At 37.9% G+C, this 16,562-nt stretch overlaps 1 protein-coding gene across 41 annotated transcripts in view; it reads right to left on the reverse strand.

Annotated features, from left to right (window-relative positions):
- DYM (dymeclin) overlaps positions 1–16,562 on the reverse strand; it is a 424,259-nt gene that overhangs the window by 396,575 nt on the left and 11,122 nt on the right. The window contains exon 2 of one of the 41 annotated variants that reach the window (NM_001374428.1): positions 16,126–16,383. The exons of the other annotated variants lie outside the window; for them this stretch is intronic. The gene's annotated coding sequence lies outside the window, so the exon portion shown is untranslated. The remainder of the gene's footprint in view (positions 1–16,125; positions 16,384–16,562) is intronic. 41 annotated transcript variants of the gene reach the window in all.

Genomic DNA, 16,562 nt, shown 5'->3' on the forward strand with positions numbered 1-16,562 from the left:
GAATAAAAACATTTTCTGATTTGCCAAGATTCAAAAGACCTCCCAGGAACCTACAAGGAAGCTACAAGATGTACTCCTTCCACATGAGGGAACAAGCCAAGAAAAAGGAAGAAATTCAAGAAACAGGGGATCCAACACAGGGCAGTGGTATAGAGAATCACAGCCATGGAGCAGGCTGGGACAAGAGTCAAAACAGCTCCCGGATCAACCAGGAGAAGAAAGCATAGAACTGACGGTTCACTTGATGCGTCTAACCTTATTCTGTGGAATGTTACAATACTGTAGGAGAATTTGGAAGCAATGAATAATAGTTATATGGAGAATAAAGTAAATAATTTCGTATAGACTACAAACTTTGGGAAAAACAAGTTATTCAAGAAAGGTCATGTAATCATAGTATACGACTAAATTCAACAGTAATCAACATTTATATAATCACTATGATATAAATACTAAATATTTAACCAAAAATTGTGAGTTAACTCTACTGAGAAGATTCCAGAAGCAGCAGCAGGATTGGTGGTCTACGAGTGCTAAACCTTCATCTTCCATAATAGGTAGTGCTCAATAGAAAATATGTAAAGTTAGTAAATCAAAAAACAGTAAAAATTTATTAGTTATAAATAAGGAAGTAGGGCCAGGTGTGGTATTATCCCAACATTTTGGGAGGCCGAGGCAGGTGGATCACTTAAGGCCAGAAGTTCGAGACTAACCTGGTCAACATAGTGAAAACCCGTCTCTACTAAAAATACAAAAATTAGCTAGGCATGTTGGAGCATGCCCATAATCCCAGCTCCTCAGGAGGCTAAGGCACGAGAATCACCTGAACCTGGGAAGTGGAGATTGCAGTGAGCCGAGATTGTGCCACTGCAATCCAGCCTGGGCGACAGAGTGAAACTCTGTCTCAAATTAAATAAATAAGGAGGTAAATAGCAAAAAGCAACAGCTTATAGATTTTTAAATGGTGGCCAGGCGCGGTCGCTCACACCTGTAATTCCAGCACCCTGAGAGGCCAAGGCGGATGGGTCACCTGAGGACAGGAGTTTGAGACCAGCCTGACCAATAGGATGAAACCCTGTCTCTATTAAAAATACAAAAATTAGGCTGGGCGCGGTGGCTCACGCCTATAATCCCAACACTTTGGGAGGCCAAGACGGGCAGACCGTGAGGTCAGGAGATCGAGACCATCCTGGCCAACATGGTGAAACCCCGTCTCTACTAAAATACAAAAAAAAATTAGCCAGGTGTGGTGGCACACGCCTGTAGTCCCAGCTACTAGGGAGACTGAGGCAGGGGAATCACTTGAACCTGGGAGGTGGAGGTTGCAGTGAGCTGAGATCTTGCCACTACACTCCAGCCTGGGCAACAGAGCAAGACTCCATCTCAAAAAAAAAAAAAAAATACAAAAATTAGCTGGGCATGGTGGCAGGTACCTGTAATCCCAGCTACTTGGGAGGCTGAGACAGGAGAATCACTTGAACCTGGGAGGCGGAGGTTGCAGTGAGCCAAGACTGCACCATTGCATTCCAGCCTGGGCAATAAGAGCTAAACTCCATCTCAAAAAAACAAAACAAAAAAGAAAAAGAAAGTGGCCACCCCTGTGGAAAAGGACTCTGGAGTGGGGAGGGTGGTAGAGCAGTTTTTTATATTAAGTTTGTCATATTAGTTGACTTTTCAAAATCACATCCATATACTACTTTGATTAAAAATAAAATATTTTCTGGCCAGGCACAGTGGATCACGCCTGTAATCACAGCAACTCGGGAGGCTGAGGCAGGAGGATCACTTGAGGACAGGGGTTAGATACCAGCCTGGGCAATATAGCAATACCCTGTCTCTAAAAAAAATTTTTTAATTAGCCAGGTGTGGTGGTGCATGGAGATTTCAACAACAACAACAAAAAAAGCACAACCCATAAAAGAAAAAAATTTATAAACTGAGCTTCATCAAATTAAAAACTTTTGGGCCAGGTGTGGTAGCTCATGCCTATAATCCCAGCACTTTAGGAAGCCAAGGCAGGCGGATCACTTGAGGTCAGGAGTTCAAGACCAGGCTGGCCAACGTGGTAAAACCTCATCTCTACTAAAAATACAAAAATTAGCACAGCATGGTGGTGTGCGCCTATAATCCCAGCTTCTAGGGAGACTAAGGCACGAGAATCACTTGAACCCAGGAGGCAGAGGTTTCAGTGAGCCAAGATCATGCCACTGCACTTCAGTCTGGGGAACAGACCATGACTCCATCTCAAAAAAAAAAAAAAAAAAAAAGAAGTGAAATGAAGGACAGCAATGTATATGTGAACTGAAAATGCAACAGACAGGCAGAAAGAATTAGGAATGCTTTGTTATTATAAGGTATTGTGCAAACTGTGAAGTGGTGATGTTGTTATTGTATTATTTAAAAGCAATCTTGGATTGCTTGTAAATGTAGATTACAAACTCTAGGGTAAACACTAAAACAGTAAAAAAAAAAAAAAAAAAAGTATAATTGAAATGCTAAGAAAAGAGAAATCTAATCTCATAAAATGCTCAATTAAAACCACAAGGCCGGGCACAGTGGCTCATGCCTGTAATCCCACCACTTTGGGAGGCTGAGGTGGGTGGATCACCTGAGGTCAGGAGTTAGAGACCAGCCTGGCCAACATAGTGAAACCCCATCTCTACTAAAAATACAAAAAATTAGCCAGGTGAAGTGTCAGGCGTCTGTAATCCCAGCTACTCAGGAGATTGACGCAGGAAAATCGCTTGAACCCTGGAGGTGGAGGTTGCAGTGAACCGAGATCGTGCCATTGCACTCCAGCCTGGGCAACAAGAACAACACTCCATCTCAAAAAAAACAAAAACAAACAAACAAAAAAGAATCTACATGTCCCAGAGAGGTGCCAACAAATCAGACTAATAGGTACTTTCTTTCACAACCACTAGGATTGTTTTTACATATTGTTACTTCATCGTCCATATTAAACATGATGAGATATTAGGATCTCATATTCTAGTTACTCGGTGTCCTATTACAGAATGTTCTTTCACTTAGACTAGTTTTCCAAAATAAATTTATTTACTTATTTTAGAGATAGGGTCTCACTCTGTCACCCACACTAGAGTGCAGTGGCATGAACATAATTCACTGTAGCTTCAAACTCCTGAATTCAAGCAATCCTTCCGCCTTAGCCTTCTGAGTAGGTGGGATTACAGATACATGCCATCACACCCTGCTAACTTTTTTAAATTTTTTATAGAGATGGGCGTCTTGCTATGTTGCTGAGGCTAATCTCAATCTCCTGGCCTCAAGAGACCCTCTTGCCTAGGCTTCCCAAAGCACTGGAATTAGAGGTATGAGCCACCTCTCCCAGCTACCCAATAAATTATTTCTTTCAGATTTTATTCAAAATTGAACTTTTTCAATAAAAGCAAAATAAGTAATGTTCTTGGGTCCTCTGGGATTCTGCATTAATTTCATTAACTCTGAGGAGTATACAACAGATTTTGTCTTCCACCACCTCCTTAAGGATATTGCTAGTTCCTTTTTAGCCAAAGCTTTCAAATTATTTTTATTTGTCCAATAATCCCTGTGACCCTGAATATGCCTCAATAAACCATATGTTTAAACAAACGAGTAAAAAAGACCTTGACTACTTGTTTACAGTGTGCTATTTATCAGGGGACTCATGCTAATTAGCAGTTAGGATTGTAGGTCTAATATTAGTGTACTGAATAAGTACCTCTAACTGTATGGATGAAAGTGGGTTAGTTCAAAGAGTGTTGGTTTGCTGACAGCAATTTAAATATGGGTCCTCCTGGCTCTACCATGTACTCAATTTTCCTTCTCTGTGCTTCATTAAAATTAACAGGAAAAAAATGACACCAGATCAAAAGAAATGAAAATCATAACAATTTGTTCTCAGTTAAATAGACCAGTATCTTACTTTTTTTGTGTGGTAACTTAAAAGCAAGCAATTTTACTCTAGGAGTTTAAGTACATGAATGCTGAATTTTCAAAAGAACAAAATTTGATTTTGGAATCAACCTCCTCCTCCCACCAGGTGAAGCAACAACGAGAAACAATACTATCAAAGAGTCTACTAACAAAATTTGTCAGATGTTTCTGTTTATTTTATGTTCTTTTTGTATCAGTAATATTCATGGTACAAAATACAAAAGCTTCAAAGGATAGACAGTGAAAATCTCCTTCCCATCCCATCTTCTAACCACCTTCTCAACTCAGAGAAAACATTCACAGTTTCTTGGGCATCATTCCACAGACATTCTGTGTATATACAAACATATGTTCAACCCCTTTTTAAACAAACCATAGCATATGACATATTCCTCTCTACTCTGCTATTCCCACTCATCAATATATAGGAAGTCATTATATATCCATATATGAAGCACTTCATTCCTTTTTACAATTGTGTAACATTCCATTTTATAATTTCTCAAATACCATATTGATGGACTTTAGGTAGTCTACATCTTTTGCTATTACAAATCATTCTCCAAGTAATAAAAAATAAATGTCATTCTCCAATAAGATATATACATTACTTATATCTTATACTATCACTTACATAAGCATATAAAATATTTCACACATGTATGAGTAGACAGATATGATAAATCCAGAGAAATAGAATTGCTGGGTCAAAGGGTATATGCATCTGTAATTTTGATAGATACTGCCTGGCTGCCTTCTACAGAGGTTGTACCAACTTGGATTCTCACCAGCAACGCCTATTTCTCTACTCCACAGCCACCATTGTTTAATCAAACTTTCTGATCCTTGCCAACTTAGATTTTTTTTAAAAAGCAGTTTTTCAATACAATTTTATTTTGCATCTCTCTTGCCGTGAATAAGACCATTACCTGCTCATATCCTATGACTGTTTTCTATTGGTTTATAGGAAATAAACTTTATTTTCAAAGAGGCTAGGATAGACCACAAAATTAAGTCTTAAATCAAACACCTGTACACCTGTAATCCCAGCACTTTGGGAGACAGAGCAGGAGGATTGCTTGAGCCCAGGAGTACGAGGCCAGCCTGGGCAAGACCCCATCTATACAAAAAATTTAAAAACTAGCTGGGCGTGGTGGCACAAGCCTGTGGTCCCAGCTACTCAGAAGGATCGCTTGAGCCCAGGAGTTCGACGCTGCAGTGAGCCACGTCTACACCACTGCACTGTGCAACAGAGCAAGACTTTGTATCAAAAATAAAATTAATAAATCAAAATAACTGCTCAGTCCAAGAACACTATGAAATCTTTCTAAAACAGTATGAATAAAGCCTACAAGCATATCAGGAGAGACACTGAACAGAATGTTAACAAAAAAAATCGAGACAGCCAATTGAGTAAAGAGTACAGTGCCTCCTTCCCCGTTTTTTCTCACCAAACCCTAGAAATAATATAAATCATATTTTTTTAAATAGCCAGTGATTACACAGCCATGCTAAAAAAATAACAGGCGGCCAGAAGCTGTGAAGAATCCCCATAAAGTAGAAAACAGCTGGAGATGGGCTAAAAAGGGAAATAGCATCCCAGAGCAGGCTCAAGGGCCTTCAAGGGCACCATCCCAAAGAGTGTGAACAGGAACTCCGGCACAAAAGCAGAAAGGCCAGAAAAAGGCCCACAAGCAACTAACAGAAGCTTGGCTAGTGCACCTGAGCAGACACCCCTGCCTAAGCCCTCACTCCCACAGGAAGCAACAACAGGGTGCTACCTGCTAGGAACAGAGTGAAGGCAACACCCTGGGCACCTGGAGTATACAGGAGGAATAAGTTCAGACATAGTAAGACCAGTAGCCACTGAGGCACTCTTGCCAGAAAGATCCACCTGCTCCCCCACAAAAAGCAAAGTAGAAAACTGAGCCCCAATGGCATCTCTTCTGCAATGATTCCTGCCAAGGATTCCAAACACACACGCACAATCGTCGGCTCCCAATTTATTTGGAACTCTCAAGACCCTTATCAATGAAAACTAGAGTAAAGTAGAAAACACTATTGGATAATCTCCAAAGAGTCCTACTGCCTTTGCCCTCACTGGGCATCATTAGACTCCCTTGGCTTCCAGCTCTTCTTTCTCTAAATCTGTCAGTAACTGATCCCATCTCCTGGCTTTTCTAGTGGCTTCCATGATACTACTTTCAAATTTCTCCTTCTAGACCCAACCTCTGGCCAGGAAGCCAGTTCTGTTGATATCTCTAAAATATTTCAGACTTTTTTTAACTCAAGGGTAATATATATAATATAATCAGTAAGTTTGTTGGTAACAATGATCCTTATGTAACTCTATGCTAGAAATGAGAAGTAGGCTATTGCTGATGCTTTTAGTAGTAAACCTTTCAAAGGACCTATCTTCAATGCAATGTAGTCAAGAACTCAATCTTAACATGTGCAAAACTGATTCTATCATTCCTCCCTGTTACCCCTTAAAACTCTCCACTACTCCCCTAAAGCTGCAATTACGTAAAAGCTGCCTTGAAATGTTATTTTGCTGTAGTACATATAACATATCTCCCCAGGTAGATTATTCCTGAGAGGCATGAATCAGGCCTTACACTTCTTCCTTATCCCTAATCAATCTCCAGCATACTGCTAAAGAGAAATTACTCAAAAAATACTTGCTGAAATAGCCAAGGTCTCACAGCTAATAAATATATGAAAAGATCTTCAGACTAAATTCTGAGTACAATATGCTAATTAAAACAATAATATATCATTTTTACCCATCAAACTAGTAAACATTAAAAAATACTTGGTAACAGGCCAGGAACTGTGGCTCATGCCTGTAATTCCAGCACTTTGGGAGGCTAAGGTACAAGGATTTCCAGAAGCTGAGTTCAAGACCAGCCTTGACAACAAAGCAAAACTCTGTCTCTACAAAAAATTTACAAATTAGCCAGGCAACACAGCTAATAAGCCTGTAGTCCCAGCTACTCAGAAGGCTGAGGCAGGAGGATCACCTGAAATCCAGGATTTTGAAGTTGCAGTGAGCTATTATACAATCATGTCACTGTACTTCAGCCTGGGCAACAGAGGGAGACTCTGTCACCAATAAATAAATAAATAAATAAATAAATAAATAAATAAATAAATAAAACATGATATGCTCAATATTTTATATTTGTGAAATATTTGATAAATACATAAAGTCAATCTCCTCTTTTATGTGTACTGACTATCTCTTGATTTGATGTGCCTTAAATGGAAAGTAAACATTAGTGGATCTGAAAATCCATGATAACCAAATTCTGTTCTAACACCCTCAAAATGTGTAAATGATGCCCTAATGCCCTTTGTCCCTTCTCAGGCTGATAATCCACAAATTCTACACTCTATTCCAGAATCGCTTTCCTCCTAAATATACATATACTATTATATATGATATATAATATAGTATATGATATATAATATAGCATATTATATATGATATATAATATAGCATATTATATATGCTATATAATATATATTTAGGAGTAAAGTGACTATATATTATATATTTATATAATATATGACTATATATTATATATTTATATAATATATGACTATATATTATATATTTATATAATATATGACTATATATTATATATTTATATAATATATGACTATATATTATATATTTATATAATATATGACTATATATTATATATTTATATAATATATGACTATATATTATATATTTATATAATATATGACTATATATTATATATTTATATAATATATGACTATATATTATATATTTATATAATATATGACTATATATTATATATTTATATAATATATGACTATATATTATATATTTATATAATATATGACTATATATTATATATTTATATAATATATGACTATATATTATATATTTATATAATATATTTATATAAATACATTATATTTTATATATTTATATTATATATAATATATATTATATATATAATATATTTATATAAATATATTATATTTTATATAATATATTATATAATATATAATATATTATATAAATATATTATATTTATATAATATATTATATATAATATATAATATATTTATATATTATATATTATATATATTTATATATAATATATAAATATATAATATATTTATATATATTATATATAAATATTATATTATATATTATATATAAATATATATTAATATAAATATATTATATATTTATATAAATATATTATATAATATAATATATATTATATATTATATAATTATATATTTATATATAATATATTATATATTATATATATTATATATAATTATATTATATATAATATACATAATATTGTTATATATAATTATATAATATATATTATATAATTATATATAATATAATTATATATAATTAATATATAATTATATATAATATAATTATATATAATTAATATATAATTATATTATATATATGGATTGTGTGTACAAACACACATATATGCCCCACTTGTACCTCAGAGACTTTAAGGAGAAAGCTGAAACAGGAGATCAGAGAAATAATGGGCAATAATCACCAGCCAAAGGACAGAGTAAATGCCACAGGTGCCATGAGTCCACAAGTAATAGAACATTCTCTGAAAGGCAACTAGGCTCCAAGTGCTATATTAAGTACAGTTGGGTATTCCCCGCCCAATGAAACGAAAGCAATGGAAAGAAAGATATAAACCCACAAAGATCAGATCAAGGGAAGTGTGGAAGATGGGAAGGTGACAGAGGAGTGTACCTGAACCAGCCGACCTGAGGAAGCCCCAAAAGGAGTTCCTGCCAAGGGGGACACCAACAAGAAGGAAGGCAATTCACCCCATGGAGCCGTGGGAAGGCTAAAGAGCGAGAGACAGGGCACTGGGGAAGACGGGGCAAGGTGCAGGACTAAAGCCTGGGGGTCTCTCTCCCCAGGAAAAGACTATTATGCGTGCTTCCCAGAGAAATACAACTAGAGAGACCAATGCCAAGGTTGGGGAGGGTAATAAGGTGGAAAATGAAGAAAACAAGAGAATGAAGATAAAGTCAACTTGCTACAGCTCCACAGTGAGTTTCCCTGCCTCCAAGGCAGGAGACTGAAGGATTCCTCTCAAGAGAAACTGAATAGGAACCTAGGGAAAAGATACAGAAATTTAGGAACTGCCAGGCCAATTTAAAAAATAGATCGTCACCTCACAGCAATGCCCACCACTCAACAAAATCTACTTACACAAAGAGCTTCCAATCAGTTTTTGGGTAGTCTCAACTTTAAATAAGAATGGACAGTCAAAAATGATTAGACTTGTGAGTAAAGCCTCCAGCATGAAATATAGAAACCAAAGCAGCCCGGGCATGGTGACTGACTCCTAGAATCCCAGCGCTTTGGGAAGCCAAGACAAAAGAATCACTTGAGCCCAGGACTTGGAGATCAACCTGGGCAACACAGAGACATTTTTAATGCCTCTACAAAAAAATAAACAAATTAGCCCAGACATGGTGGTGCACGCCTATAGTTCCTGCTACTTGGGAGGCTGAGGTGAGAGGATTGCCTGAGCCTGAGAGGTCAAGGCTGCAATGAGCTGTGATCGTGCCACCACACTCCAGCCTGGGCAACAGAGGGAGATCCTGTCTCAAAAATAAAAAAAAGAAACTGAAACAAACTAAAGAAAGGAATCATAGAAAACAGATGATTCTAAGAAAAAATTAAAAACTAAAATATCTTTAGATAGATAATAATGAAAACAGTAACAATAATACCAAACATGTATTTAGCACCTACTATGTCCCCAGTCACCATCTTAACTGTTTCACATATACTAACTGATTTTACACTCACCACAAACTATGGCGTGGTACTTTTTTTTCTCATTGCCTAAATCATAAATTGGCAAATTACAGCCCAAGGGCTAAACCCTATGTGCTGCCTGAAGAATGATTCCTACTTTTTTTTTTTTTTTCAGACAGGGTCTTGCTCTGTCACCCAGGGTGGAGTGCAGTGGAGTAATCTCAGCTCACTGCAACCTTTGCCTCCCGGGTTCAAGCAATCCTCTCATCTCAGCCTCCCTAGTAGCTGGGACTACAGGCATGCACCACCATGCCTGGCTAATTTTTGTATTTTCAGGTTTCACCATGTTGGCCAGGCTGGTCTCAAACTCCTGACCTCAGGTGATCTGCCCACATTAGCCTCCCAAAATGCCGGGATTATAGGCATAAGCCACTGCGCCCAACCTGATTTTTACATTTTTAAATCGTTGAAAAAAATCAAAAGAATATTTTGTGACATGTGTAAATTATATGAAAAGAAAATTTCAGTGTCAATAAAGTCTTATTAGAATACAGCCATGCTCATTTGTTTACACATGGTCTATAGCTGTTTTCCTGATACAACAGCAGACTTGGGTAGTTGCTACAGAGATCATATTTGGTGCCCTCATCCCTTTATACTCTCAGTGCACCACAAATCTCAATGACACGGTTTACTCAACAGCATTTCAAGTGTCATGAGTATTGCCATACTATAACTATTTTACCAGTGACTATCACGTCAAAAAAACAGAAGTACTCTGATGTCACACTTGTAAGTCACAGTGGACTGTAGATTGTTTAAATCTAGTTAGATGTCAAAGTACTTTATTATGTAAAAGCATCACGAAGCTGTGCCAGCAAAATACAATATAGGAAGTATTACTAGACTAAGCACTCATCACAATATCCCGATATGCCCTGCCACACAGCATTCACTCCCAACTCATGAGAGCAATGAGCAGGAAAATGGGCAAATGTAAAACAAGATATACCTCCTCAGAGCAGAATGTCTTGCCAAAAATTAAAAATGGAAATAGGGCTGCAACCGAAGTAAATTTCCAAATGGCTCATTTGTTAAGCAAGCAAGGAAAGTATTTGCCAATGGTGAGTTAATTAAATTGTGTTTGATTACAGCAGCCAAAGAATTGTGTCCAGAGAAAATAAATATCTTTAACATCCTACTCTTTCCATGAAAACAGTGGCTCGAAGTACAGTATGTATGAAACAATTACAGCTATGAATATTTTCCAAAAAATCAAGGAAATACTAATTCAGCACAATCTGAAGTAGAATCTGCTAAGATGTGTAACAACTGATGGTGGTAAAAATATGTATGAAGCAGAAAAAGGCTTAGCTGGACAAAATTTACAAGCCTTGTGAAATGTAAGGTGTTTAAAGCTTATGGCTATTAATCATATTCTCAATCAGCAGGTACTCTGCAGAAAACATCTGAATCTATCATGTGTTATTGAACCGTAATGTCACAGGTAAATTTCATTTGTTCTCATGACATTTTTGTCAGAAATAGAAGCTAAATATCCTGACGCGTCCTGCCACGAAACAATACAATGGCTTAACAATGGCAGAGTTTTACTGAAATGTTTCAAGCTCCAGGCTGAGACAAATTTTTCTGAATGAAAAGAATGACCCTCAACTACTATTGTTGCTGCAGACTTGATATATCTGTTAATGAATTCAGCCTAAAGTTAGAAGGACAACAGGGTCTACGTGCAAAACCTATATTGAGACAGTCATTTCAAGGACAACTAACATTGCCTAAGTCACAAGTCATGTCAAGATGCTTCATGTACTTCCTATGCTGTCAAAAATTAAAATAAGAAGATCTCTACTGCCACACAAATATGCAGCAGACATATTTTCCAAAATCAAATATTTCCAGCAGTATTTTTTCATACCTCAATGCAAGTAGAAACGAACATTCCACATTTCAAAAATCATTTAACTGTGCAATGAGGAGCTTCTACCTAATCCTCAATTGGAAGTGATTAGTCTGCAGTGTAATGATTTGCTAAACGTTAAGTATCAAGAAAAGAGTCTAAAAGAATTCTGTAAATGTCGTCCAAGCAATGAATATGCTCTATTAAAACCATATGTTCACAGACTATTAGCAGTATTTGGCAGTATCTAAGAAGACATTTTCAAAGATGAAATACATGAAATCTCATTACAAATCAGCATTAATAGGTGGTTAATGCTGCATCTATAATCAATTTTGATGATAGAGAACACTAACTTTAAACTCCAATTAAGCCAAATGTTATCCCCTCTCCTCCAAAAAAACATTCATTCTTCTCATTAGCAAACCTTTATTGCAAAAATTGTTCTCAATCATTATTAGTATCGCATTTTGAGCTTTATTAATAAAAAACTTGTAGAAATGTTTTCTCTCTTGTTATGTAAGTACTTACATAATGAAATAATTAAATAATTTAAAATATCCTTCATTTTGCCTCTTGGCTGATAAAGCCTGAAATATTTATGATTTGGTCCTTTAGATGAAATGTCTACCAACTCCTAACCTACATGAATAAACTAAAGCAAAGAAAGGTTAAGTAACTTGCCCAAGATTATAGAGCTAGAAAGTGGCACATCAGGTTTTAAACCCAGGTAGGATAGGTACAGAAACCATTCTCTTTTAACCGTTTCATATTGCTTCATGAAGCAAGAGTAGGATGTCATAAAAAAGGAAATAAAGAACAAGAAAGGACACCTGAAATTTAAAACAAAAGAACGGAGAAAAGATAAAAGTTAAGGGAACTCCCATAATAAAGAACAAGAGGACAAATAAGTGAAAAACAGGAGGAGAAAAAATAGAAAATTTAAAGAACAATTTAGAAGATTTTAATATATTAATAGTAACAGTTCCAAAAAGAAAGCACAAACAAAATGGGGGATGTTACACTGTCAAGTCAGGCATGGTGGGGATCTGAGATTTTACTTTACTGACAAAGCTGAAAAAGGCATGAAACCTCTGGAACAGGGACACAAAACAACTGCAATAGCAGTAGCCAGAGTAACACCTTGCATCAATTTCTTAGGCACTAAATCCCACAGGCCGTTCAAAGTATTTGGTAAAAATTAATAATATATCCATGGAAAACTAAGCAAACTAGGGGGAGGGAAGGGGAAACATGGTGAAGTACTCACCAGCAGTGAACAATATTTATGTAGTCATAATAATATAAAAGCTAAACACTATATTAACCAAGAATTCTTATATACCTATACTGGAAGTGCTTTTAGAAATAGGGGAAGGAAAGGGAAGAATACCCCACCTACCATAACAAGAAGTTAATATGTATTATCTAAAATTGATAAATCACAAAATAGCAATTTAGGCAGATTTATAAACGCAGAGGTAAGAATCAAAAGAAAAAGCTTAAAAGAATTTTTAGGGCCAGGTGCAGTGGCTCAGGCCTGTAATCCCAGCACTTTGGGAGGCCCAGGCAGGAGGACCATTTGAGGCTAGGAGTTCAAGAACGGCCTGGGCAACACAGTGAGACCCCATCTCTACCAAAAGAAAAAGAGAGAGAGAGAGACAGAGTTCTTAAAAGTAACTGCCTCTGAAAATGAGATTAAAAAGTGGGGATGGGTAAGGATACTGCTGATTTTTTATAACCTGCCTTTATTATTATTTACCTTTTCTAACAATATACAAGTATTACTTTAAGTAGAAAAAATATCAAAATAAATAAGAGAGAATGAGCTTTACTATTTCATAATCAATGATTCATATAAACAATTCAATGTGCAAATACTAAAGAACAAGTACAGGGTTGAAAAACCAAATAAGCCATATATAAGCTACATCACATTATGGTTACATTAAGCACAAGAAGCCTATCAACAGTCAATAAATATTTCCTGAGTGCCCACTATGTGGCCAGCAGTATGCAAAGTGCCAAGGTTAAAGTTGTGAAGAAGGGAATGATATACAGAGATACGGATACATCAACAAGAAATGTTAAGATGGCAACTATTCAAGCTTCCAAGGGAAAGCTTCCAAGAGTTCATACCATAAAAGTTAAGACCAGCTGGGTGCAGTGGCTCACGCCTGTAATCCCAGCACTTCGGCAGGCCAAAGTGGGTGGATCACCTGAGGTCAGGAGTTCGAGACCAACCTGGCCAACACGGTGAAATTCCGTCTCTACTAAAAATACAAAAATTAGCTGGGTGTGGTGGCAGGCGCCTGTAATCCCAGCTACTTGGGAGGCTGAGACAGGAGAATCACTTGAAACCGGGAGGTAGAGGCTGCAGTGAGCTGAGATCACGCCACTGCACTCCAGCCTGGGCAAGACAGAGGAAGACTCCATCACAAAAAAAAAAAAAAAATGTTAAGACCTAAAGGACAAGAAGGGTTGGCCTGGGTGGATGTGGGAGTTCAGAAACTTCCAAAGCAGAGAACAGCACGTGTGAAGCCCTGTGGTTAAGAAATAACAGGTAGGGCCTGTTCAAGGACCTGAAAGAAGTTTAACATGGCTGGAACAGAAAAGGAATCAAAGCAGAAGCATAAGAGACCAGAAAGTACCTTTTTCGAACACGTCTCTTTCTCAAGGAGCTGCTCTCCTCTCTCCTTTCTTCTGTCTATTAAGCTTTCCACTCCTTAACCCACCCACATGTCCGTGTCCTAATTCTTTCTCGGCAGGCAACAACAAACCCTAGGGTATACACCCCAGATAGTGTAGCCACTTCATAATGGCAGCTTTGTCCGGGATACCAAGGTACAACATTCATAAGAACGGTAAGGGGAAGAGCGAACTCTAACTCTGTCCTTTCATTCCAAGGTTCTCGGCTTCCATTTTAGACCTTTCATGGAGGACTTAGCTGTCGTGTGGGGCTGGAAGAAGTCCTGGGGCAACTGAGGATTTCTGGCCGGCGCTACCCCCTGGTGTTATCCAAAGGCTTCTGGACCCCAGCCGCCAACCGCCCCAATGCGGTGTCGGCAACAGGATCTCCAACTTTCCTATTGTAATCTCCTCCTCTCCTGTTCGCAACCGTCATATCTCTTATCCTCTCTGTATGAAATGTGTGGGAAGTTTTATGGTTCAGGGAAGTAGTCTTGTTTGGTAAGATCAGGGAATGTCGTAGTAACAAGGCATATAGCTCAAGGGGAAGCGTCTTTGTGATTTTCTAAGAACAGGGCTCCCTGACCCCCCAACAGTGAGAATCTCTCTTTCTCTGCCCTTGGTCTGGAGAGCACATGGCATTTTCCAGGTCTCTCTCTGCCCTTGGTCTAGAGAGTATGTGGTGTTTCAAGGTCAACAGCGCCACCTAGTGAAATAGGAATCCTCTCCATGAAGCACACTGTCAGTCCAATGAAACATCCTAGCCTCCCAATTCTCTTTCCTTTTTGTGCCTCTCTACTAGAAACCAGGCTTTATGCTGGTTCTGTAAATGAGAAAACTCTGCCTTCAACAATTAGGGGTAAAATATTCCTCCAAAGCCAAAATTTAGTCTCAATACTGTCTCATCAGCAGGAAAATGGCCATTCAATCCCTAAGTTTTTTTAAGCCACCTATTCTGCCTTCAATTAGAGTAGTACTTAATTAGTAAGGGAATTTTAAGTTTGGAAGTTAACTGGAACCATTATCTAAGGGTAAATGCTTCAGCACAGGCCATAATAGCAGGATACAGAGTTCAATCTAGCACATCCCCTGCATTAAAGGGGCCTTGCCCAACTATTATGTAGTTTTTCTTGAAATCCATTTTTCAGGAAGCCAGGCAAGTCACACAAGTCTAGGAAGTTAAAGGGAAATCACAGGCAGAGGACTACAGCCACTTGGGTGAGCATGACTAGCCCCAGTGACTTAGTTCCTCTGGTTCCATGACTGGGGGTCACACTTGCAACCATGGGCAGCATGTTCAACAAGGTGCCTGGGACCCAGGAAACACAGGGGGAAAAAAGCAGGGGGGATGCCCCCACTGCTTCCTCTCCACCATGGGTCACACCAAAAGGAAGGAGACTAAAGGGCCACCTTTTTCTCTAAGTGGGTACCATCTTCATCCTGCACTCCCCTGGAGTGCATTCTGAAGCACAAGGATTTCTTTGACCCTGAAACTTTAAAAAGCAGCTCATTTTCTTTTGCACAGGGCATGGCCTTTTTACTAGACCTTTGCAAGCGTTACAGAATTAACCCAGCCCTTTTAGCAATCATATTGAGCAGGCCCAAAGAGAATAATTCCCCAAAATGAGAGAAGCAACTTCTGGGGAAATCATCTGAGGCAGCTATTGGGTGTCCCAGCCCTTCAAGTCCCCCTTATTTAGGGCCACCTCCAACCATACCACCAGTTCTTCCACCTCCACCATCTCCAAAATTTCCCACTCCCCACTTTCACTCTTACCTCTACAGGAAATGCCCAATGGAGGTGATGTCACTAGGGTTCAAGTTCCCTCCTCTTTGCAAGACCTTAGGCAAATAAAGGTGACTGAGGCCAATTTTCTGAAGACCCTGATAGGTATATAGAAGCTTTCCAAAATTTAACTCAGGTGTTTCACCTCTCATGAAGAGATTTTATGTTGCTTCTAAGCCAAACCCTAATTACAGCTGAAGAGCAGGCAGCAAAGAAATTGAAAGATAAGCAACGTTTCCTATAGTAGGCCTAAAACGAAAAGAGAAAATAGGGAAGGCAAAGAAATAAGAGAAACACAATTCCCAATAGGAAGAGAGGCGGTACCTCTTGACAACCCTAACTGGAATCCCCAGACTTTTCTATGGTGTTTTTCCTTCTTTCACAGTGTACAATGGTTCCTATCTCTTCCTGTATAATGTTCCTCCAAA

This window comes from Homo sapiens, chromosome 18 (genome assembly GCF_000001405.40).
Source record: "Homo sapiens chromosome 18, GRCh38.p14 Primary Assembly".
In the NCBI taxonomy this organism is placed as follows: domain Eukaryota; kingdom Metazoa; phylum Chordata; class Mammalia; order Primates; family Hominidae; genus Homo; species Homo sapiens.